This window comes from Homo sapiens, chromosome 1 (assembly GCF_000001405.40).
Source record: "Homo sapiens chromosome 1, GRCh38.p14 Primary Assembly".
Classification (NCBI taxonomy): domain Eukaryota; kingdom Metazoa; phylum Chordata; class Mammalia; order Primates; family Hominidae; genus Homo; species Homo sapiens.
This window is the reverse complement of record NC_000001.11, coordinates 225094975-225118092: the sequence shown is the minus strand read 5'-3', so window position 1 is coordinate 225118092 and position 23118 is coordinate 225094975. Positions and strand designations below refer to the sequence as shown.

Genomic DNA, 23118 nt, shown 5'->3' with positions numbered 1-23118 from the left:
AGCGCACTTTTATAATATATCAAAAATTTCAAAGCAGAGATTTTAAATAATGACGTTGTACAGAATCTAAACAGTTTGTAACATTTATCATACTTTGGCAGCACGAGACCTTCCCCTTCAGCAGATATTAGCATTTTTACAGCAGGAGGGCCAATGTCTTGTTTCCATATCAATAATTGTTTTATATTTTCAAAGCATTTCACAAGATGAGGCTGTGAACCAGAAACAAATGTCAGTAATATTATTGAATTGTGATCTGAATATCGCTAATATAATATTGCTGAGCAGAGAAAGATGTTATTACCTGTACAGACTCAGGATTTCTGCTATCAGCTAGAATATCAAGAAGCTCGGCATTGCTAAGAAAGTAAAATCTTGGGAAAATTAATCTTTTAACTTCAAGGTAATCCTGTCCAGAATCAAAAGAAATGCAATTCAGAATATATGCTTAATTATGATATGAATTACATCCTCATTTTGACCTATACTTACAAACAAAAGCCACAATATTAGTTATGGTATATATAGTAGTATCAGTTAAAATAACATTCCATGCTTAATGAAAGTGATACTTAAATTGCTAAAAAAAAGTTTAATAAAGCTAAACTAAAACAAATGAAACCAAAATCAAAATAAACAAGAAAACCCCACCCTTAGACACACATATACCATTTTATTCTAGTTTGTCATTATTGCCTGGGAGCAGGCAATAATAATAATAATTATTATTATTATTGATCAAAATAATAAAGTATTGTATTTTGGTATTATCAACATTGCTTTCCCATACTTCTGACTTTCTGCTCTTATTTCCCTATAGGTGTGGTTATCACTTTATAGACTAAGTTACCATATCACAGATAACTTTACATTCACTGTATAGAGAATTTCTATATTTCTCACTCCTTTCTATAACTTAGAGGCATTAACACTAGTCTCAATCCTTTCCTTCTTTTCAGAGGAAGAGATACCCATTAACTTATGCCAGACTAAGATACTCTTGATTTATTTATTACTCTTTTGTAACTTCAATCTCTCCCTTGCAATAGGCCTCCCCCTAAATTTCTCTCATTATAACAATATAAGAAGCCCTCCATCTCTCTTTGTTCTCCTTTAGCTACTGTCTACTTGCTTGTCTTCTCTCCACGAAGTTCTTGAAAAGAACTTGTGAAGTCAGATTCTTTGTATCTCTCAGTTGTCTCGTGCTCTGCCACCTGGCCCTGACTATTACCAAATTTACTGAGAGCTTTTCAGTCTTTGTGTTACATGACATTTTCATAGCATTTGATACTGTTGACTCTGCCCTTCATTTTGACTTCTAAAGTTTCACTCTCTTCCATCCCTAAGCTACGTCTTATTATTTTCCATCAAAAGTCCCTCTTGGACCCATACATCTTAATGCTGACATCTGTTAAGTTCCAACCTCATCACTTTTCCTACTCATTATGCTCTTCTTGAGCTATTTGATACAGACATACTTGCTCTTCAGCTCAGATCACTTCTCTCTGCCCTGGATCTACATACCCAATTGCTAACTGAAGATGTTCACTTGAATGTCCTGTAGGTATTAGATTTTCAATATGAACCAAACGTATCTAGGCATAACCCGGGACCTCTTTCTTTTATTCTCTACTTCCTATCGGATGCTCCAAGCTCTACCTTCTTTCATCTTCCTCATGGCCTTACTTTAGCCCCCAATATTTCTAGTCTTTTAACTGATTTTTAAATATCTATTCTCATTGCCCCCAATCCACTCTATGCTTCTTTCCAGACAGATATTTCTGATTTAATTATTTCACTCTCTTATTTAAAATCCTTCAGTGGCTACTTATAAAAGTAAAAACTCATTGTGATATTCAAGGCCCTTCACCCTCTGTCCTCTGCCTGACTGGAGAATCTCATCTCTCACCACTTTCCCATCTGCAACCTGTTTTATCTGTACCATCTTGCTTACAAATCCAGAATGTGCCATACCTGCTCATGGCTCCATGTCTTTGTACTTTTTACCTTTGCCTAAAATACTCTTCCCACCTACCCATCCTTCTCTAATCTAACTCTTTTATCTATTTAACACCTACATTTCTTTCAAGACCAGTTATCATTGCCTACAGGCTGGGTTAATTTGTCCTCTTTTATATGGTCATACCATCCAACCCATCATAGCATACATCACATTGTAATATCTCCTTACTTTTTTTGTCTCCTAAAATAGATTTTGAGTTCTGTAATAGCAGGGAATATGTCTTTTATCTTTGTAGTACCAACACATAGCAGCAGTGCCTGATACAAAATGGTGCTCAATACATGAATAAATGGAAAGCTATTGGTTTGTAATGATCCTCAGTAATAGTCTAAAGATGTGCTGGAAATATTTGGAAGGCTTATCTCAACGATGACTTGGTAAACCGGCTATTATTAACCAGAATCAATCTGGCTGCAGCCCCTTATGCTTGCTCCAGAGTGCAGATTTCAATAGAAGAGGGCCTATATGGGCAGATAATTTTGTATAGGCTGTGATTGCCTATAGTTGTTTTGGAGGGCTCATCACAACCACTGTTACTTGTGTTCAGTAAGCAAAAGCAATTAATGCCTGAATAAAAATCTTGGTTCATGAAGTAAAGTGAATATGTACACCACAAATCTCAAAAATTAAAATGTAGTATTTTAGGATACATGTCTAGTTTATACTTTAATGTTCTGAGAATGTATAAATATATGGAATCAGTAATTTATAGACTCATAAAAACATTCTGTTTCAACTTTTGCAGAATTTATCAACTTAATGGTGCTAATAAAAATAGTTAACCTGCACAAGACTCAGTGCTGTGCTGGCTTCGCGTCTGACCCACCACAGCTCCAGTGATGGTGGCCACAGGGTGCTTGTGTCACCCCTCCGCCAGCTCTAGGCAGCTTAGCACACAGAGAGAGACTCCATTGTTAGGGAAAAAGCAATTATTTTTGCCAGCACTTATGCTTTAAATGCATCATCTCAGTGACAAACCCCTCAAGGTAGCACTATCATTATTCTCAACTTAAAGATAAGGAAGGCAAGATGGCTGAATAGACTCCTCCACTGATTGTGCTCCCCACAGATATAACAAATTTAACAACTATCTCTATGAAAAAAGCATCTTCATACAAAGGTAAGCATTCATAGTACCTGGTTTTAACTTTATATTGCTGAAAGAGACACTTAAGAGAGTAGGAAAAACAGTCTTGAATTGCTGAAGCCACCCTTCCCCCACCCCCTGTGGTGGACTTGTGGCACAGAGAGAGAATGAGTGTGCTTGGGGGAGAGAGAGCACAGTGACTGTGGGATTTTGCATTGAAACTCAGTGCTGCCAACACTGGACATAACTCAGCTGAAGCCCACAGAGGGAACATTTAGACCAGCCCTAGCCAGAGGGTAAGCATCCATTCCAGCAGTCAGAACTTTAGTTTTGGTAAGCCTTGCTTCTGTGGGCTAAAGTGGTCTAGGGTTCTAAACAAACTTGAAAGGCAGTATAGGCCATAAAGACTGCAAGTCCTAGGCAAGTCCTAGTGCCGTGCTGGGCTCAGAGCCAGTGGACTGGGGGGACACATGATCTATTGAGACACCAGCTGAAGCAACTAAAGGAGAGCTTGCATCACCTCTCCCCCAACCCCAGGCAGCACAGCTCCCAGCTCCAAAAGAGACTTGTTACCTCCACTTCAGGACAGGAGAGGGAAGACTAAAGAGGACTTTTTCTTCCAACTTGGATACTGGCTCAGCCATAGTAGGATAGGGCACCTGGCAGGGTCATGAGGCTCCCATTCTAGGCCCTAGATCTTGTATGACATTTCTAGACACACTCTGGGTCAGAAGGGAACCTGCTGCCTTGAACAGAAGGATCCAGTCCTAGCAGGATTCATCACCTGCTAACTAAACAGCCCTTGGGCCCCGAATAATCAGCAACAGTAGCCAGGTAGTACATGCCATGGGCCTTGGGTGAGACTCTGAGACATTCTGGCTTCATATGTGACCCAACATGTTCCCAGCTGTTTTGGCTATGAGGGAAGACTTCTTTTGCTTGAGAAAAGCACAGTGTAAAGTGTAAAGTGGACTTTGCCTTACAGCTTAGGTACCAGCTTGGCTACAATGGGGTAGAGCACCAAGCAGGCACTTGGGGTCTCTGATTCCAGGCCTTGCCTCTTGGATGGCATTTCTGCACCTGCCCTGGGCTAGAATGGAGTCCATTACCCTCAAGGGTGAGTCCAAAGCCTGGCAGCATTTACTACAAAGTAACTAAAGAGCCCTTGGGCTTTAGTGAACATCAGCGGTACCCCGGCAGTACTCCCTATGGACTTGTGGTGGTGAGGGCCATGGAGAAAGACTCCTCTGCCTGTGGAAAGGGAAGGGAAGAGTGAGAAGGACTGTGTCTTGTGGTTTGAGTGCCAGCTCAGGTGTAGTAGAATAAAGAAGTATATTTCTAAGGTTTCTGACTATAGATACTGGTTCCCAGATGGCATCTCTGGAACCACCCAGGGCCCAGGGGGAACTCACTACTCTTAAGGGAACAACACAAGCCTGGCTGGCTTCACCACCTGCTGATTATGCAGCCCTAGGGCCTTGAACAAACATAGGCGGTAGCCAAGTAGTGATTACAGTGGACCTTGCACAAGCCTCAGTCAGTGCTGGCTTCAGGTCTGACCCACCATGGCTCCAGTGATGGTGGCCACATGCATGCTTGTGTCACCCCTCCACCAGTTCCAGGCAGCTCAGCACACAGAGAATGACTCAATTGTTTGGGAAAAAGTAAGGGAAGAGAACAAGAATCTCTGCTTGGTAATCTGGAGAATTCTTCTGAATCTTATCCAAGGCCACCAAGGTGGTACCTTGTCTGCAAGAACCACAGCATTACTGAGCTTTGGGTACTCCCTAATGAAAATACAGCTGCAGTGAGCAATAACATAGATAGTAACAGCCAAGTTTCTTAAAATACCTGGAAGGCCTGCCCAAGAACGATAAGTTCAAACAAGCCCAGACTGCAAAACTACAATAAATACATAACTCTTCAATGCCAACACCAACAAAGCCTCAAGACCACCCAGGAAAACAAAACCTTACCAAATAAATTAAATAAGCCTCCAGGGACCAACCCCAAAGTGACAGAGATATGTGACTTTTCAGATAGAGAATTCAAAATACCTATGTTAAGAAAACTCAAAGAAATTAAAGATAACAAAGAAAAGGAATTCAGAATCCTTTCAGAAAAATTTAACAAAGAAATTGATATAACTGAAAAGAATCAAGCAGAAATTCTGTATTTGAAAAATGCAATTGACATACTGAAGACTGCATCAGAGTGTCTTAGCAGCAGAATTGATCAAGCAGAAGAGAGAATTAGTGAGCTTGAAGACAGGCTATTTGAAAATACAGATGAGGCATCAGAAAAAAAGAATAAAAAAGAATAAAGCATGACTACAAGATCTAGAAAATAGCAGCTAGAAAAATAAAACATAGCCTAAAAATAGAAAAGCTAAGAGTTACTGGCCTTAAAGAGAAGGTAAAGATGAAGACAGGGGTTGAAATGAATAATAACAGAAAACTTCTCAAACCTAGAGAAAGATATCAGTATTGAAGTACAAGAAGGTTATAGAACACCAAACAGATTTAACCCAAAGAAGACTTCCTCAAGGCATTTAATATTCAAACTTCCAAAATTCAAGGATAAAGAAAGGATCCTAAAAGTAGCAAGAGGAAAGAAACAAATAAAACACAATGGAACTCCAATATATCTGGCAGTAGACTTTTCAGTGGAAACCTTATAGGCCAAGAGAGTGGCATGACTTACTTGAAGTGCAGAAGGAAAAAAAGCTTTTACCCTAGTATAGTATATCTGTCCAAAATATCCTTCGAATAGGAAGGGGACATACAGATTTTCAAAACAAATAAAAGCTGAGGGATTTCACCAAGATGACACATGTTATACAAGAAATGTTGAAGAGAGTCCATCAATCAGAAAAACACAAAATATTGTAATGCTGTAATTGTGGTGTGTAAACTACTCATATCTTAAGTAGAAAGGCTAAAAGACAAAGTAATAAAAAAAACTAGAACAACTTTTCAAGACATAGATCATACAATATGGTATAAATAGAAAAAACCAAAAAGTTAAAAAGGGGGACAAAGTTAAACTGCAGAGTTTTTATTAGCTTTGTTTTTGCTCATTTGTTTGTTTATGCAATCAGTGTTAAGTTGTCACCAATTTAAAATAACAGTTACATGATATTATTTGCAAGCCTCATGGTAACCTCAGATCCAAAAAGATAAAATAGATACATAAAAAAGAAAAAGCAATAAATTACAAAATGCCACCAAAGAAAATCACCTTTACTAAAAAGAAGACAGGAGGGAAGGAAAGAAGGAAGAGAAGACCACAAAACAACCAGAAAACAAATTTTAAAAATGGCAAGCATAAGTCCTTACTTATGAATGATAACACTGAATGTAAATGGACCAAACTCTCCAATAGGACATAAAGTGGCTGAATAGATTAAAAAAAAAGACTCAACAATCTGCTCCCAATAAGAAACACACTTCACCTATAAAGGCACACATAGACTGAAACTAAAAGGGTGGAAAAAGATATTCCATGCAAATGGAAACCAAAAAAGAGCAAGAATAGCTCTATTTATATCACACAAATTAGATTTCATGACAAAAACCATAAAAAGACAAAGAAAGTCATTACATAATGATAAAAGGGTCAATTCAGCAAGAGGATAAGAAGGGTCAATTCAGCAAGGTGCATATAAATATAAATGCACCCAACCCTGAAGGGCCCAGATATATAAAGCAAATATTATTCAAGCTAAAGAGAGAGATAGACCACAATCCAATAGTTGGAGACTTCAATACTCCACTTTCAGCACTGGACAGATCATCCAGACAGAAAATCAACAAAGAAACATTGGAATTAATCTGCACAATAGACCAAATGGACCTAATAGATATTTACAGAACATTTCATCCAATGGTTGCAGGATGCACATTCTACTCAGCCCATGGATCATTTTCAAAGAATGATATGTTAGGCCACAAAACAAGTCTTAAAACATTCAAAAACACTGAAATAATACCAAGTATCTTTTCTGACCACAATGGAATAAAACTAGAATTCAATTACAAGAGGAATTATGGAAATTATATAAACACATGGAATTTAAACCATATGCTCCTGAATGACCATGTCAGTGTCAATGAAGACATTAAGAAGAAAATTGGAAAATAATAACAGAAACACAACATACCAAAACTTATGGGATATACCAAAAGGGGAGTTTATAGCTGTGTCTATGTCAAAAAAGTAGAAAAACTTCAAATAACTTAAAAACGCATCTTAAAGAATTAGAAAAGAGCAAACTAAACTCAAAATTAGTAGAAGAAAATAAAGATCAGAACTGAAATAAATGAAATTACACTATAGAAAAGATAAAATGAAAAGTTGTTTTTAGAAAAAAACATAAAGAAAACTGACAAACCTTTAGCCAGACTAAGAAAAAAAAAGAAAGAAGACCCAAATAAATACAATCAGAGATAAAAAAGGAGACATGACAACCAGTACCACAGAAATTCAAAGGATCACTAGAGACTACTATGAGCAACTATATGCCAATAAATTGGAAGATCTAGTAGGAATGGATAAATTCCTAAACACATACAACCTACCAAGAAGGAATCATGAAGAAATATAAAACCTGAACAGACTAATAACAAGTAATGAGATCAAACCTGTAATAAAGTCCCCCAGCAAAGAAAAGCCTAGGACCTGATGCTTCACTGCTGAATTTTGCCAAATATTTAAAGAAGAACTAATACCAATCCTCATAAAGTCTTCCAAAAAATAGAGAAAGGAATACTTCCAAACTCATTCTGTGATGCCGGTATTACCCTGATACTAAAAGCAGACAAAGACACATTAAAAAAGAAAACTACAGGCCCATATCCCTGGTGAAAATTGATGCAAAAATCCTCAACAAAATGCATGCAAACCAAAGTCAACAACACATTTAAAAGGTGATTTATCATGACCAAGTGGGATTCATCCCAGTGATGCAATGATGGTTCAAAATATGCAAATAAATCAGTGTGAAACATCATATCAACAGAATAAAGAACAAAAACCATATGATCATTTCAATTGATGCTGATAAAGCATTTGATTAAATTCAACACTGAATATAGAAGAAACATATCCAACAAAATAAAAGCCACATATTACAGACTCACAGCTAGTATCACACTAAATGGGGAGAAAATGAAAGCCTTTCCTCTAAGATCTGGAAGGTCATAGAGGCCAAGGGTGCCCAGTTTCCCCACTGTTATTCAATGTAACACTGGAAGTCCTAGCTGGAGCAATCAGAAAAGAGAAAGAAACAAAGGGCATCCAAGTTGGAAAAGCAGAAGTCAAACTCTCCTTGTTTGCAGATGATATGATCTTATATAGGGGAAAACCTAAAGACTCCACCAAAAAACTATTAGAACTGATAAACAAGTAAAGTTACAGAATACAAAATCAACATACAAAAATCAGTAGCATTTCTATATGCCAAGAGTGAACAATATGAAAAAAAATCAAGAAAGTAATCTCATTTACAACAGCTACACATAAAATTAAGTATCTAGGAATCAACCTAAGAAGTGAAAGATCTCTATAATAAAAAATATAAAACATTGATGCAAGAAATTGATGAGGACACCAAAAAATGGAAAGATATTCCATATTACATGAATTGCAAGAATCAATATTGTTAAAATGTCCCCACTACTCAAAGCAATGTACAGAGTCAATGCAGTCCCTATCAGAGTACCAATGACATTCTTCACAGAAATAGAAAAACTATCCTAAAATTTATACTGAGCCACAAAAGACCCAGAATATCCAAAGCTATTCTGGGCAAAAAGAACAAAGCTGGAAGAATCACATTACCTGACTTTAAACTGTATCACAGAACTACAGCAACCAAAATAGCAAACTAGTCACATAAAAACAGACACATAGACCAGTGGAACAGAATGAGAAATCCAGAAACGAATCCGTACATCTACAGTGAACTCATTTTTGACCAAGGTGCCAAGAACATACATTGGAAAAAGGGCAGGTTCCTCAACAAATGATGCAGGAAAAATTGGATATCTATATGCAGAAGAATAAAACTAGACTCCTATCTTTCGCCATATACAAAAATCAAATTAAAATGGATTTCACACTTAAATCTGAGACCTCAAACTATTAAACTACTAAAAGAAAACGCTGTGGAAATTCTCTATTTTATTAGACTGGGCAAAGATTTCTTGAGTAGTACCTTATGAGCACAGACAACCACAGGAAAAATGGACAAATGGGATCATATCAAGTTAAAAAGCTTTTGCACAACAAAGGAATCAACAAAATAATGAAGAGACAACCCACAGAATGGGAGAAAATACTTTTAAACTATCCATCTGACAAGGGATTAATAACTATTAATAGAATATACATGGAGTTCAAACAGCTCTATAGGAAAAAATGCAATAAAAATTTAATAATCTGATTTTAAAATGGGCAAAAGATCTGAATAGACATTTCTCAAAAGAAGACATACAAATGGCAACCAGGTTGTATTAGTCACGGTTCTCTAGAGGGACAGGACTAATAGGATAGATGTATATATGAAAGGGAGTTTATTAAGGAGTATTGACTTACACGGTCACAAGGTGAAGTCCCACAATAGGCCTTCTGCAAGCTGAGGAGCAAGGAAGCCAGTTAGAGTCCCAAAAACTCAAAGGTAGGGAAGCCAACAATGCAGCCTTCAGTCTGTGGCTGAAGGCCTGAGAAACCCTGGCAAACCACTGGTGTAAGTCCAAGAGTCCAAAAGCTGAAGAACTTGGAGTCTGATGTTCAAGGGCAGGAAGCATCCAGCAAGGGAGAAAGATAAAGGCTGGAAGATTCAGCCAGTCTAGTCCTTCCACGTTCCTCTGCCAGTTTTTATCCTAGCAGCACTGGTAGCTGATTAGATGGTGTCTACCCAGATTGAGGGTGGGACTGGCTCTCCCAGTCCACTGACTCAAATGTTAATCTCCTTCGGCAACAACCTCACAGACACACCCAGGAACAATACTTTGCATCCTTTAATCCAGTAAAGTTGACACTCAATACTAACCATCACACAGGTATATGAAAAAGTGTTTATTATCACTGATCATCAGGGAAATGCAAATCAAAGTGACAATGAGATATCATCTCACTTCAGTTAAAATGGCTTTTTTCCAAAAGACAGGCAATAACAAATGTTGGCAAGGATATGGAGAAAAGGGAACCCTTGTACACTGTTTGTGGGAATGTAAATTAGTACAACCACTATGGAGAACAGTTTGGAAGTTCCTCAAAAAACTAAAAATAGAGCTACCATAAGATTCAGCAATTCCGGTATCCATGGCAGGTGGGGTTCCTGTCCTGTGCTTTGGAGAGCCCCTGCCTCTGTCTCCGTACAGGGGAGCTTCTTCCTTTTTTCTTCCCACTTCTATCTTGCCTACTAAACTCTGGGTTCCTTAAAAACACTCCATGTATGTCCATGTCGTTTTGTCTAAGCCGGCATGAGGACAAAGAACCCTGGTGTTCCTCCACTCATCGGAGCCATATCAATAAGTTTTTGTTGAAAGCCAGATGTTAGGTAAAAGGAACTCAGTTTCAGTCACATGTTCATAAAAACTAAAGCAGTACGCAGCTGGAGATCTGAGAATGGACAGACTGCCTCCTCAAGTGGGTCCCTGATCCCCGAGTAGCCTGAGAGGCACCCCCCAGTAGGGGCAGACTGACACCTCACACGGCCAGGTACTCCTCTGAGACAAAACTTCCAGAGGAATGATCAGGCAGCAACATTTGCTGTTCACCAATATCTGCTGTTCTGCAGCCTCCGCTGCTGATACCCAGGCAAACAGGGTCTGGAGTGGACCTCCGGCAAACTCCAACAGACCTGCAGCTGAGGGTCCTGACTGTTAGAAGGAAAACTAACAAACAGAAAGGACATCCACACCAAAACCCCATCTGTACGTCACCACCATCAAAGACCAAAGGTAGATAAAACCACAAAGATAGGGAAAAAACAGAGTAGAAAAAATGGAAACTCTAAAAATCAGAGCGCCTCTCCTCCAAAGAAACGCAGCTCCTCACCAGCAACGGAACAATGCTGGATGGAGAATGACTTTGACGAGTTGAGAGAAGAAGGTTTCAGATGATCAAACTATTCTGAGCTAAAGGAGGAAGGTAGAACCAATGGCAAAGAAGTTAAAAACCTTGAAAAAAAATTAGATGAATGGCTAACTAGAATAACCAATGCAGAGAAGTCCTTAAAGGACCTGATGGAGCTGAAAACCAAGGCACAAGAACTATGTGACGAATGCACAAGCCTCAGTAGCCGATTCAATCAACTGGAAGAAAGAGTATCCGTGATGGAAGATCAAATGAATGAAATGAAGTGAGAAGAAAAGTTTAGAGAAAAAAGAATAAAAAGAAACGACAAAGCCTCCAAGAAATATGGGACTATGTGAAAAGACCAAATCTACGTCTGATTGGTGTACCTGAAAGTAACAGGGAGAATGGAACCAAGTTGGAAAACACTCTGCAGGATATTATCCAGGAGAACTTCCCAATCTAGCAAGGCAGGCCAACATTCAACTTCAGCAAATACAGAGAACGCCACAAAGATACTCCTCGAGAAGAGCAACTCCAAGACACATAATTGTCAGATTCACCAAAGTTGAAATGAAGGAAAAAATGTTAAGGGCAGCCAGAGAGAAAGGTCGGGTTATCCACAAAGGGAAGCCCATCACACTAACAGCTGGTCTCTCGGCAGAAACTCTGCAAGCCAGAAGAGAGTGGGGGCCAATATTCAACATTCTTAAAGAAAAGAATTTTCAACCTAGAATTTCATATCCAGCCAAACTAAGCTCCATAAGTGAAGGAGAAATAAAATCCTTTACAGACAAGCAAATGCTGAGAGATTTTGTCACCACCAGGCCTGCCCTAAAAGTGCTCCTGAAGGAAGCACTAAACATGGAAAGGAACAACTGGTACCAGCCACTGCAAAAACATGCCAAATTGTAAAGACCATGCAGGAAGAAACTGCATCAACTAAAGAGCAAAATAACCAGCTAACATCATAATAACAGAATTGAATTCACACATAACGATATTAACCTGAAATGTAAATGGGCTAAATGCTCCAATTAAAAGACACAGACTGGCAAATTGGATAAAGAGTCAAGAACCATCAGTGTGCTGTATTCAGGAAACCCATCTCACGTGCAGAGACACACATAGGCTCAAAATAAAGGGATGGAGGAAGATCTACCAAGCAAATGGAAAACAAAAAAGGGCAGGCGTTGCAATCTTAGTCTCTGATAAAACAGACTTTAAACCAACAAAGATCAAAGGAGACAAAGAAGGCCATTACAAAATGGTAAAAGGATCAATTCAACAAGAAGAGCTAACTATCCTAAATATATATGCACCCAATACAGGAGCACCCAGATTCATAAAGCAAGTCCTTAGAGACTTAGAAAGAGACTTAGACTCCCACACAATAATAATGGGAGACTTTAATACCCCACTGTCAACATTAGACAGATCAACAAGACAGAAAGTTAACAAGGATATCCAGGAATTGAACTCAGCTCTGCACCAAGCGGACCTAATAGACATCTACAGAACTCTCCACCCCAAATCAACAGAATATACATTCTTCTCAGCACCACACTGCACTTATTCCAAAATTGACCACATAGTTGGAAGTAAAGCTCTCCTCAGCAAATGTAAAAGATCAGAAATTATAACAAACTGTCTCTCAGACCACAGTGCAATCAAACTAGAACTCAGGATTAAGAAACTCACTCAAAACCGCTCAACCACATGGAAAAGGAACAACCTGCTCCTGAATGACTACTGGATACATAAGGAAATGAAGGTAGAAATAAAGATGTTCTTTGAAACCAATGAGAACTAAGACACAACATACCAGAATCTATGGGACACATTCAAAGCAGTGTGTCGAGGGAAATTTATAGCACTAAATGCCCACAAGAGAAAGCAGGAAAGATCCAAAATTGACACCCTAACATCACAATTAAAAGAACTAGAGAAGCAAGAGCAAACACATTCAAAAGCTTGCAGAAGGCAAGAAATAACTAAGACCAGAGCAGAACTGAAGGACATAGAGACATAAAAAACCCTTCAAAAAATCAATGAATCTAGGAGCTGGTTTTTTGAAAAGATCAACAAAATTGATAGACCGCTAGCAAGACTAATAGAGAAGAAAAGAGAGAAGAATCAAATAGACACAATAAAAAATGATAAAGGGGACATCACCACCTATCCCACAGAAATACAAACTACCATCAGAGAATACTATCAACACCTCTATGCAAATAAACTAGAAAATCTAGAAGAAATGGATAAATTCCTTGACACATACACCCTCCCAAGACTAAACCAGGAAGAAGTTGAATCTCTGAATAGACCAATAACAGGCTCTGAAATTGAGGCAATAATTAATAGCTTACCAACCAAAAAAAGTCCAGGACCAGATGGATTCACAGCCGAATTCTACCAGAGATACAAGGAGGAGCTGGTACCATTCCTTCTGAAACAATTCCAAACAATAGAAAAAGAGGGAATCCTCCCTAACTCATTTTATGAAGCCAGTATCATCCTGATACTAAAGCCTGACAGAGACACAACAAAAAAAGAGAATTTTAGACCAATATCCCTGATGAACATCAATGCAAAAATCCTCAATAAAATACTGGTAAACCGAATCCAGCAGCACATCAAAAAGCTTCTCCACCATGATCAAGTGGGCTTCATCCCTGGGATTCAAGGCTGGTTTAACATATGGAAATCAATAAACATAATCCAGCATATAAACAGAACGACAAAAACCATATGATTATCTCAATAGATGCAGAAAAGGCCTTTGACAAAATTCAACAACGCTTCATGCAAAAACTCTCAATAAATTAGGTATTGAGGGGACGTATCTCAAAATAATAAGAGCTAGCTATGACAAACCCACGCCACTATCACACTGAATGGGCAAAAACTGGAAGCATTCCCTTTGAAAACTGGCACAAGACAGGGATGCCCTCTCTCACCACTCCTATTCAACATAGTGTTGGAAGTTCTGGCCAGGGCAATCAGGCAGGGGAAGGAAATAAAGGGTATTCAATTAGGAAAAGAGGAAGTCAAATTGTCCCTGTTTGCAGATGACATGATTGTATATCTAGAAAACCCCATCGTCTCAGCCCAAAATCTCCTTAAGCTGATAGGCAACTTCATTAAAGTCTCAGGATACAAAATCAATGTGCAAAAATCACAAGCGTTCTTATACACCAATGACAGACAAACAGAGAGCCATATCATGAGTGAACTCCCATTCACAATTGCTTCAAAGAGAATAAAATACCTAGGAATCCAACTTACAAGGGACGTGAAGGACCTCTTCAAGGAGAACTACAAACCACTGCTCAATGAAATAAAAGAGGATACAAACAAATGGAAGAACATTCCATGCTCATGGGTAGAAAGAATCAATATCGTGAAAATGGCCATACTGCCCAAGGTAATTTATAGATTCAATGCCATCCCCATCAAGCTACCAATGACTTTCTTCACAGAATTGGAAACAACTACTTTAAAGTTCATATGGAACCAAAAAAGAGCCCGCATTGTCAAGTCAATGCTAAGCCAAAAGAACAAAGCTGGAGGCATCACGCTACCTGACTTCAAACTATACTACAAGGCTATAGTAACCAAAACAGCATGGTACTGATACCAAAACAGAGATATAGATCAATGGAACAGAACAGAGCCCTCAGAAATAATGTCCCATATCTACAACCATCTGATCTTTGAGAAACCTGATAAAAACAAGCAATGTGGAAAGTATTCCCTATTTAATAAATGGTGCTGGGAAAACTGGCTAGCCATATGTAGAAAGCTGAAACTGGATCTGTTCCTTACACCTCATACAAAAATTAATTCAAGATGGATTAAAGACTTAAATGTTAGACCTAAAACCATAAAAACCCTAGAAGAAAACCTAGGCAATACCATTCAGGACATAGGCATGGCCAAGGACTTCATGTCTAAAACAACAAAAGCAATGGCAACAAAAGCCAAAATTGACAAATGGGATCTAATTAAACTAAAGAGCTTCTGCACAGCAAAAGAAATACCATCAGAGTGAACAGGCAACCTACAGGATGGCAGAAAATTTTTGCAATCTACTCATCTAACAAAGGGCTAATATCCAGAATCTACAATGAACTCAGTCAGATTTACAAGAAAAAAACAAACAACCCCATCAAAAAGTGGGCGAAGGATATGAACAGACACTTCTCAAAAGAAGACATTTATGCAGCCAAATACACATGAAAAAATGCTCATCATCACTGGCCATCAGAGAAATGCAAATCTAAACCACAATGAGATACCATCTCACACCAGTTAGAATGGCGATCATTAAAAAGTCAGGAAGCAACAGGTGCTGGAGAGGATGTGGAGAAATAGGAACACTTTTACACTGTTGGTGGGACTGTAAACTAGTTCAGCCATTGTAGAAGTCAGTGTGGTGATTCCTCAGGGATCTAGAACTAGAAATACCATTTGACCCAGCCATCCCATTACTGGGTATATACCCAAAGGATTATAAATCATGCTGCGATAAAGACACATGCACACGTATGTTTATTGTGGCACTATTCACAATAGCAAAGACTTGGAACCAAGCCAAATGTCCAACAATGATAGACTGGATTAAGAAAATGTGGCACATATATACCATGGAATACTATGCAGCCATAAAAAATGATGAGTTCATGTCCTTTGTAGGGACATGGATGAAGCTGGAAACCATCATTCTCAGCAAACTATCGCAAGGAGAAAAAACCAAACACCGCATGTTCTCACTCATAGGTGGGAATTGAACAATGAGAACACATGGACACAGGAAGGGGAACATCATACACCGGGCCTGTTGTGGGGTGGGGGGAGGGGGAGGGATAGCATTAGGAGATATACCTAATGTTAAATGACGAGTTAATGGGTGCAGCACACCAACACGGCACATGTATACATATGTAACTAACCTGCACGTTGTGCACATGTACCCTAAAACTTAAAGTATTAAAAAAAAAAAAGATTCAGCAATTCCACTGTTAGGTATATACCCAAAAGAAAGGAAATCAGTATACTGAAGACATATCTGCACTCTGTGTTTATTGAAGCACTATTCACAATAACCAAAATTTGGAAGCAACCCAAGTGTCTGTAAACAGATGAATGGATAAAGAAAATGTGGTATATATACAAAATGGAGTACTATTCGGCCATAAAAGAGAATGAGATCTTGTCATCTGCAAGAACATGGATAGAACTGCAGGTCATTATGTTAAGTAAAAAAAACCAGGCACAAAAACACAAAGTTCATATGTTCTCATTTATTTGTGGGAGGTAACATTTGAAGCAAGTGAAATCATGGAGATAGACAGTAGAAGGATAATAACCAGAGGATAGGAGGAGTAGTGGAGAGAATGGGGGAGAGAGAAAAAGTGGTTGATGGGTACAAAAAACAGAATGAATAAGGTCTAGTATTTGATAGCTGAATGGGGTGACCATACCTAACAATAATTTAATTTTACATTTAAAAATAACTAAAAGATTATCATTGGATTATTTTTAACACAAAGGATAAGTGCTTGAGGCTACGGATACGTTTACCTTGATGTGATTATTTTATATTGTATGCCTGCTTTAAAATATATCATGTACCCCATAAATATATACATCTACTATCTATCTACAAAAATTAAAAACTAACAATATTTTAAAAAAGTATTAACCTCCTGAAAGAAGTCATTTCTTATATTAAAAAAAAAAGATAGGATATCTCTTTTAAAAAATAAAAGGTAAGGGAACCTGGGCACTCAAAAGTTTGATAATTTACCAATGGTCATTTAGATTAGTCCATACACTTTTCCTTTTGACAATATTTTTATTAACTCTATAGGTAGTGAGAGTTTAAAAAATTGTTGGCAGCTAGAATAAAGAAAATCTGCACTGGAATTAGCTTCTGCAGTAGATTACATTATATCACTTTTACTTTACTTTTGTTAAATGATTCACTGCTTTAGAATTGCTATAGTTTTACCTCAAGGCTTTTCTTTATATGTTCAAGATGTATATTACAATTTTGCAGAATTTCAAGGACTCCTGCAGAAGTGGTTATCTGCAAAGCATTCTGTTTGTTTTGTATTTTTGACATTATTTTTTTCCACATGGAAATCACTTGAGAGAAAAGTTCTGTTTCTGCTGGGAGTTGCCTTTAGAAAAAAAATTAGATGTCATTTTATTTTTTTTAAGGCACTATGATTAAAATCTATAATGTAATGCATTGCCACGGAATACTGTTTGAGTTATAAAACATTTGATGTTAAATTTTCTTGATAAATCATCAAAGATACTTTTTAAGTGCCTATTATGTACAAGTGATGCACATGGTAAGAAATGGATAAATTAGACACAACAACCATCATTTAACAAGATTATACTTAGTATACAGTGGAAGACAGATGTATAGAAATTCTGCATAAGGTAAGTAGAAACAATCTGTGTCCTAAGAAATGTAATAAAACAAAGGGTTACTGACGATCTAGAGCAGAAATGGGATCTGTCAAGAGCTTCTTGGAGAAGACGTTATTTAATCTGTGTTTTAAAGGAGTAGAGCTTTGATGTGAATAGAAGACAGAGGGGGCATTCAGCTTAGAAGCAAGAATACAGAGGTATGTATAAAAACACTGAAGTTCTATTAACGGTTATCTCATCTTAGAGGATAAGAAAATGTAAGGGCCATGTCAGCCTTGGTGTATAAATTTTCCTTTACAGAAGATTATCATTATTTTCTCCCTTTGGAAAAGGGAAGCAAAACCCACATGTGATGTGATAAGCCATTAATATATTAATTTTAGTTTTGTTTCTGTTGTTGTTGGAATTGAATGAGAGAAATAGTTTCTATAATTATACAGTTGCATTATTTCTTTTTTTTCTGTTCACCTATATTTCCCACCCCTCTCCCACCCTAGCCTCAACCTGATTCAAACTCCTCTTGGCTCTGAAGTTGAAGAGGGGAGGAATTTAGAGGGACTTTTTTTCTTCACTCAGCTAGTGTTACTTTGAATCCTCTTTTGCCTCTTGCATGCCCTCTGTCATGGCAGGTATCCATAAAGTATATTGCTGGAGATTTCAGAGTACCCCAACAGGAACCTCTATATTGCACCATTCATTGGCTCTTGCCAGCTGACCTCTTACAACCATTCCTTAAGCTCCTGCTCTAAGTAGTATACTTCTGGGATTCCCTTGTTCTGCCATTTTTGGGTGGAGATCTTTCAAGATGGCTCTAGCTTGGAAACCCCTACTATGTCTGTCAGGATTTCTCAGTTTCTGCACTGTTGACATTTTGGACTACATAATTCTGGTTGGTGTGGGGGCTGGGGGTAGGGAGAAGTTCTGGTGCATTGTAGAATGTTTAACAATATCCTGGCCTATACCCACTAGATGCCAGTAGTATCCCCTCAGTTGTGACAAGTAAAAATGTTTCCAGACTTTGTGAAATGACTCCCAGAGGTAAAAAAATTACCGCTGGTTGAAAATCACTGGTCTAAGATAACCATGTATTCCTGCACTTCTTCCTTGCCCTGTTATTAAAGGCTGCTTTAGAATTCTCCAGAGAAGAGGCAAGCGCTAGTTTCTAATGTCCCTACACTCTAGGGAAATACATGTCAAGATTTCCCAAGACCACTTCCACTATTATCTCATTCTCTATCTTGCGTGATGGACCTAAAAGTTTTCTGTAGCTCAGCAAAAATCCTGTCAAGGAGGAGACTTCAGTCTCACCTTCTCTTAAGCACCCTTCCAATATCTCTGGGATGTCCTAGCACAGCCCTCATAGTTAGTTTGGAGCTCTGGTAAATGGCACTGCATTCTATACTCTCATATATTCCCGTTAGAGAGTCTGCCCCTTTAATGAATCTCTTGTCCCATTCTTCTCCTTCATGCTTTCTCCCTGGTATCAGGGCTCATCATCCTGCTCCATTACTCAAAGGCAGATCCACTATAGACCCACTTTTTCTTTTCTTTAGACCTATTAGATAGATGCCTTCAGAATCCATAGTTGAAAACATCTTTTTCAACTTCAGAAAATCCTATAAAGGAACAATTTAGTGACACTTTGAACTCTCTTGCCTAGAATTCTAATCTTTAGTAAAAGGTAGTATTAAAGTTTAAACTTAAGGCTCAAAGTTGTTGTATCCATAAGGACATACACCTTAGGTATGTGGTTTCACCTTTGAGAACTTTCAGAATAACTACCGATCAATCAAATAGAATAAACCCAAGCATTCATATGATAAGAAATATACATGTATAACACAAATGGATATTGTTCCCCACAAAGCAATACTTAAATTTAAACAGTTCCCTTTTGTAATCTAACGGCTTCCCTTTGTCTCCAAAATAAAATACAAAATACTTGACATATTATTCAAGATTTTCCATTGCTATAATAGGCCTTTCAAATACACACCCAATGTTTTCCTACCTTATTTCAGAATGGCTCCTAAACTAGCTTGTATGATTTGCTGTCAATAGTTTAAATTCTGCCTAATTTATTTGTCTCAACTTGAGCACCCTTAAGGCCAATCACTTTACAAAGTTAGAGGTCAATGAATTTGAATGGTATGGTGTTTTTTAAAGGTAGAATTTTTTAACAACTGCCCAGGCCCTCTATTCTTCCATCTGGCTCAAAGTAATAGTAATAAATTGGTTTTTTTTTTTTCTTGAAACAGTCTCTCTCTGTGGTATGGTTCAGGCTGGAGTGCCATCGTGCAGTCACGGCTTATTGCAGCCATGGCCTTCTGGATCCAAGCCGTCCTCTCACCTCAACCTCCCAAGTAGCTGGGTGGGACCACAGGCATGTGCTACTAAACCTGGCGGTTTTGTTTGTTTGTTTTTAAGACATGAGGTTTCCCTGTGTTGCCCAAGATGGCCTCAAACTCCTGTGCTCAGGTGATCTTGGGCTCCCAAAGTGTTGGGATTACAGGCATAAGCCACCACACTCAGCCTAAGAAATTCTTATTAATGTATGAATGCTACTAAAAACATGTTTATTATTCACATCAAAACCACACTAATATTCCAGAACGAAAGAAACACATAATATTGTAGTTTTGGGATTATAATGATGTATCTGACACTTTTTTTTTTTTATACAGAGTCTCGCTCTGTCGCCCAGGCTGTAGTGCAGTGGCACAATCTTGGCTCACTGCATCCTCCACCTCCCAGGTTCAAGTGATTCTCCTGCCTCAGCCTCCCGAGTAGCTGGGATTGCAGATGCCCACCACCACGCCCACCTTATTTTTGTATGTTTAGTAAAGACAGGGTTTCACCATGTTGGCCAGGCTGGTCTTGAACTCCTGACCTCAAGTGATCCACCTGCCTCAGCCTCCCAAAATGCTGAGATTACAGGCGTGAGTGAACGTGCCCAGCCAATAATGATGTATTAACACTTCTTTCTTAGCTCTTTATATTTTTATACCAATAGTCAAGTAATAAGGCTTACAAAAATGATGTTCATAATCTTTTATGAAAGAAAAATAATGATTCAGCAAATTATACCCCTATGTCTGTAGGTAGGATAAGATAGTTTGTTCATTGAAGAAATGATTTCTCAAGAATTAAAGAAAATAAATTACTCACAATGCATTTTGAACCTGTATATGGTATATTTTAGGTATTTTACCTTCGTATTTCTGAAGAATGAAAGACTGGTTCAAGATAAAGCCAATTTCTTTGACAATTCATCCATTCCTCAAGGGTGTAAGAGAAGAGAGTCAAGTTTTGATCCCATTCATTCACAAGATCCTACAATGATAAAAACATATACACATACAAATCTAAATATATAAAATTATTCTTTAAGAGTTACATAACAGAAACAGATCAAAGGTGATTATCAGTCATTGACATACAGAAAATAATTAATAGAAAGTCACATAAATGAATACAGATCTAATTGTATTTAGTTTTAGGAGAGGTTTAAGATGTCCTGTTCATCCATTTTCTGTCATATTTATTATACAACATGCAAATCTTTTTGTAAAAGATTTGAGTAACACACATATATATGTAGAAATTAACATGAATGTCTAGCACTTAACACTTATTTCCTACTTCTTATCACAGAGGAAACATAACCAGAAATGTGATATGCATATTATTTCAGTCCTTTCTTTAAGCATAATTTCACATATAGATGCACATATAATATCCTTAATGTATTACATAAATATAAATACAACCATATTATATACATTGTTTTATAACTTGCATTTCATAACAAATAATGTCTTCTAGAGAGGTTTTATGTCAGTACTTATACGTCTTCTTCAGTATTTTAATGATTTCAGGAAATTCCATTGTATGCCTATAATGTCTTTTTCCAACTGCTATGCTTATTAAAGTAATAGGAAAATGGTTAAAAATAAATTAATACTAAAAGGCTTATTTGGAAACCAGTGGACTTGTCCATCCCCTAACTCTCTGGTTCCTCATGGGGAACCATTTATAACTCATTTATATTTGACTTCTGGTACTTACCTCCATATTTTTTACTTCTTAACTTTATTTTATATTTCAATAGCTTTATTAAGGTATCACTGATACACAAGAAACTGCACATATTTAAATTATACAATTTTGGCCAGGCACGGTGGCTCACACCTGTAATCCCAGCACTTTGGGAGGCTGAGGCGTGCAGGTCACTTGAGGTCAGGAGTTTGAGACCAGCCTGGCCAACATGGTGAAACCCCGTCTCCACTAAAAACACAACAACAACAACAACAACAAATTAGTCAGGCATGGTGGCGGTGCCGGTAATCCCAGATACTCCGGAGGCAGAGGCAGGGGAAATGCCTGAACCCAGGAGGTGGAGTTTGCAGTGGGTGGAGACTGCACCACGGCACTCCAGCCTGGGTGACAAAGCAAGACACCATCTCAAAAATAAATTAATTAATTAAAGTATACAATTTTATGAATTTTAACATGTTCTACCTGTGAAATCATCACCACAATCAAGATAACAAACATATCCATTACCCTGAAAGTGTTCTTTGTGTCCTGTTGGAATTACTTCCTCCTATCCCTCCCTACCCTACCACCAGGCAACCACTGATCTACTTTCTGAAACTATAGTTTGTATTTTCCAGAATTTTATATAAACAGAATCATACAACATGTATTCACTTTGCTCTGACTTCTTTCACTTAGCATAATTATTTTGAGATTGATCCGTATTGTTACATATATCAATAGTTCATTCCCTTTTTCTGTATAACTTTTAGGTTCAGGAGTACATGTGCAGGTTATACAAGTAAATTGCGTGTCACAGGGATTTGGTATACAGATTATTTTGTTACCCAGGTAATAACATAGCACACAATAGGTAGCTTTTTTATCCTCACCCTTCTCCCACCCTCCACCTTCAAGTACGCCCCGGTGTCTGTTGTTCCATTCTTCGTGTCCATGTGTACTCAATGTTTAGCTCCCATTTATGAGTGAGAACATGCAATATTTGGTTTACTGTTCCTGTCTTAGTTTGCTTAGGAAAATGACCTCCATCTCCATCCAAGATGCTACAAAGAACATGATCTCATTCTTCTTTTATGGCTGCATATATCCCTTGGGGTATATGTACCACATTTTCTTTATCCAGTCTACTGTTGATGGGCATTTAGGTTAATTCCACGTCTTTGCTATTGTGAATAGTGCTGTGATGAACATAAGCGTGCATGTGTCTTTATGATAGAACAATTTTATATTCCTTTGGGTATATACTCAATAATGGGATTGCTAGGTTGAATGGTAGTTCTGTTTTAGGTACTTTGAGAAATCACCACACTAATTTACATCCCCAGCAGCAATGTATAAGTATTCCCTTTTCTCTGCAACCTCACTGGCATCTGTTATTTTTTGACCTTTTAATAATGGACATTCTGACTGGTGTGAG

The 23118-nt window shown here is 37.8% G+C and overlaps 1 protein-coding gene across 23 annotated transcripts in view; it reads right to left on the bottom strand.

Annotated features, from left to right (window-relative positions):
- Window positions 1-23118, bottom strand: part of DNAH14 (dynein axonemal heavy chain 14) — a 469633-nt gene that overhangs the window by 281194 nt on the left and 165321 nt on the right. For all 23 annotated transcript variants that reach the window (XM_011544062.3, XM_011544067.3, XM_017000296.2 and 20 more), the window contains 4 exons: window positions 20854-20975; window positions 17209-17380; window positions 305-409; window positions 94-212 (listed from right to left, as the gene is read on the bottom strand). In XM_011544062.3, the coding sequence (XP_011542364.1) occupies window positions 94-212; window positions 305-409; window positions 17209-17380; window positions 20854-20975 (518 nt within the window). The remainder of the gene's footprint in view (window positions 1-93; window positions 213-304; window positions 410-17208; window positions 17381-20853; window positions 20976-23118) is intronic.